Source organism: Homo sapiens, chromosome 12 (assembly GCF_000001405.40).
Source record: "Homo sapiens chromosome 12, GRCh38.p14 Primary Assembly".
Lineage (NCBI taxonomy): Eukaryota > Metazoa > Chordata > Mammalia > Primates > Hominidae > Homo > Homo sapiens.
Genome location: NC_000012.12, coordinates 53,927,406 through 53,929,856, shown reverse-complemented (window position 1 = coordinate 53,929,856; position 2,451 = coordinate 53,927,406). Strand labels below are relative to the sequence as shown.

The following is a 2,451-nucleotide window of genomic DNA, read 5'->3' as shown; positions in this document are numbered from 1 at the left end:
TGGTTAATCCTGGGAAGAAGAAAGCCCAACCAACCCTCTCCCCGTCAAACATGACTGCTCCTTGATCCTTGATGACTTGATCCTTCAGGATGTCTAGCTCTGAGTTCAGCCTTTAGGAAAGTGAGTTCTTTGCAAGGTCCGGAGACACCCACTGCAGTCTCCTGGCTTCTCTGGGCTCACTCCTCAGGCTGTGAAGCCAACAGGGGATCTCAGATGCTCTGCCAGTACACCTGGAAGACAAATCTGAATTTGCAGTTTCAAGTCGAGTTTCCACCTGAAGGCTATGTGGGTGATGCCCCAACTTCACTTTGCAAGTGCATATTCAGCTTAAAAACTATGTGGAGGAGACTGGTCCTACCCAGCTATGATCTTCTTGGAAAAAAACAAAGAACAAACAAACAAAATGGAGCCCAAATATTCTTTCTGCCAAGAAATAAAATTTTTCATAGACACAAGTAGAAACCCATGTTTGTTCCCTCTTCTCTCTCTCTCATGTATATACACACATATATACACACACACATATATGCATTTTGGTGACTTGATCTAACTCTACATTTTATCACAACAGATACAATATCTTCCAGGAAATAATGCCCAGGAAGGCAACTCTATCTTTCTACACAAGGAAAAATGCACAGAAGACCCATTTCACCATCTTGGAGCGCTGTTCTCTATTAGATTTTCCTTGTTTCTCTCTCTTTTTACTGTCCAGCGATGATGAGTCTCCACAAACAATCAGAATTTGCATTTTCCTGAATTATTCAAATAATCGAAAGGTGAGTGACGGGAGGAGGACTTATCTGAATTATTCGATAATTAAGCTTTCAGGATTTTTATTTTATTTTATTTTATTTTTTATAATGCAGGATTAGCGTTATTCCCTATCCCCAACCTCAGGGAGAACCTTGAGGCTGTAAACCCGCCTCACACAGTGGAGCCTGGAGAATGGGGTCCATGCTATTTGAACAGGGAACATGTTTGTAATAACTTCAAAATCTACCTTGGTTACAAATACCTAGGACAGTAAGGAACATCCCCACCCGCCGCACCTCCCTCTCCAACATTTCTTCAACCTTTACTTGGTAGCTTCAGCATCAAGTATCAAAATCTGTGGGGGAGAGTACTCTTTCTCCATGTCGAAAGGCACCTCTTCTTGCACTCCCTGACCTAGCCAGCTCTAACCTGCGGGCTTATTCTGGGGGAGCTTCAGAGGAAAAGCCGGGGATGAGGGTCTTAATCTCGCTCTAGATCTTTACTTGCAGAGAGATGAGTTACATTGTTTAATTTTCTTCTCTACCTGGGCCGTTCAAAGAGCTCAGGAATATTGTCTTGTCTAATTCCCCGGAGGCTTCGTATTCTGCCCCTGCAAACTGACGACCTCCTCCAGCAGAAATCAGGCGGAGGGAATGGCAGGAGCTGCGTGGGGGAGTTCTTGGCGGAGGACTTGTCTTCTCCTTCCCACCCCACAGCTGCGTAGGCTCGACTGGCGCGTGGGGGCTCCCGACTTGGAGGGGTGTGGGCAGTGGTATTCAGGGCTTTTTCTCCGTCCCGCCCTGCAGGGATCTGGAGTCCAGTGCCTCCAGGAAACCTTCCCTAGGTTTCAGGGGGCGGGGAGAGCATGCCAGTCTGGGAGGCAGCCCCAGACGGTTTGCACAGTCCAGAGACGGAAGTCCCCACGCTCCCAGCCTGGGACGGGGAGACCCTTATTTTCTCAACTTGAACCAAACGAAATCGGCAGCAGTCACGAACCTCAGCTCCCAGACCGGGTGGCGCCTGCCTGTCCACGTCTTTGTTTTTTTTTTTTTTGTTTGTTTGTTTTTTTTTTTTTTTGAAGGGGATACATTTAAAGGAAAAAAAAATCAATCCGAGAGAAACTTACACTTTCAAACATTCACAGCGGAACTTGTATGTGTTGGCGCCGCACTAGGGCCAGGCATCCGCCCAGCGCTCCCCGCCTTCCCCAGGAGTTGGGTCCCGCACCAACGTCTCTACTCGAAGCCGCGGCAAGTCACTTTCCCCAGTCGCCCTCCCGAGACCTACCGCCCCCAAAAGCCATTTTTCAAGAGGCGCAGGCCCCTCTCCAGGCTTCTCCGGAGGCCAAAGCAGCGGGCGGGCGGGCGGTGGCTAGGGGACGCGGCCCGGCCAGCTGAGCCCGCTCGTTTCCCGCCACTGTGCGCAGCTCGGGTCCCCCAGATCTTCGAAGCCCTCGGACCTGGCTTTCGCGCAGACTGGAGAGAAGGAACGGCGAGAGTGAATTGAGGGGTTACCGACTCCCGCATCCTCCAAAGACCGCACTTTGCATCGTTGTAACGCTCGAGCTGCACACGCCAAAGGCGATTTTAGGGGTCCTTCTCCATCATGGCATTGGAACGACAGGGCAGAAATTTCAACTTAAGTGTCTACACTGAAGTGTTATGTCTTCTCCAAGTCCTTTTCATTTACTTAGGA

General features: G+C 49.4%; 1 annotated feature.

The window, feature by feature from the left end:
- Positions 1,017–1,854: an enhancer, noted in NCBI's record as "H3K27ac-H3K4me1 hESC enhancer chr12:54321787-54322624 (GRCh37/hg19 assembly coordinates)". NCBI's record gives its function as "activates a minimal SCP1, AML or CMV promoter by ChIP-STARR-seq in naive H9 embryonic stem cells {active_cell/tissue: H9 hESC(naive)}" and the evidence as "EXISTENCE:reporter gene assay evidence [ECO:0000049][PMID:30033119]".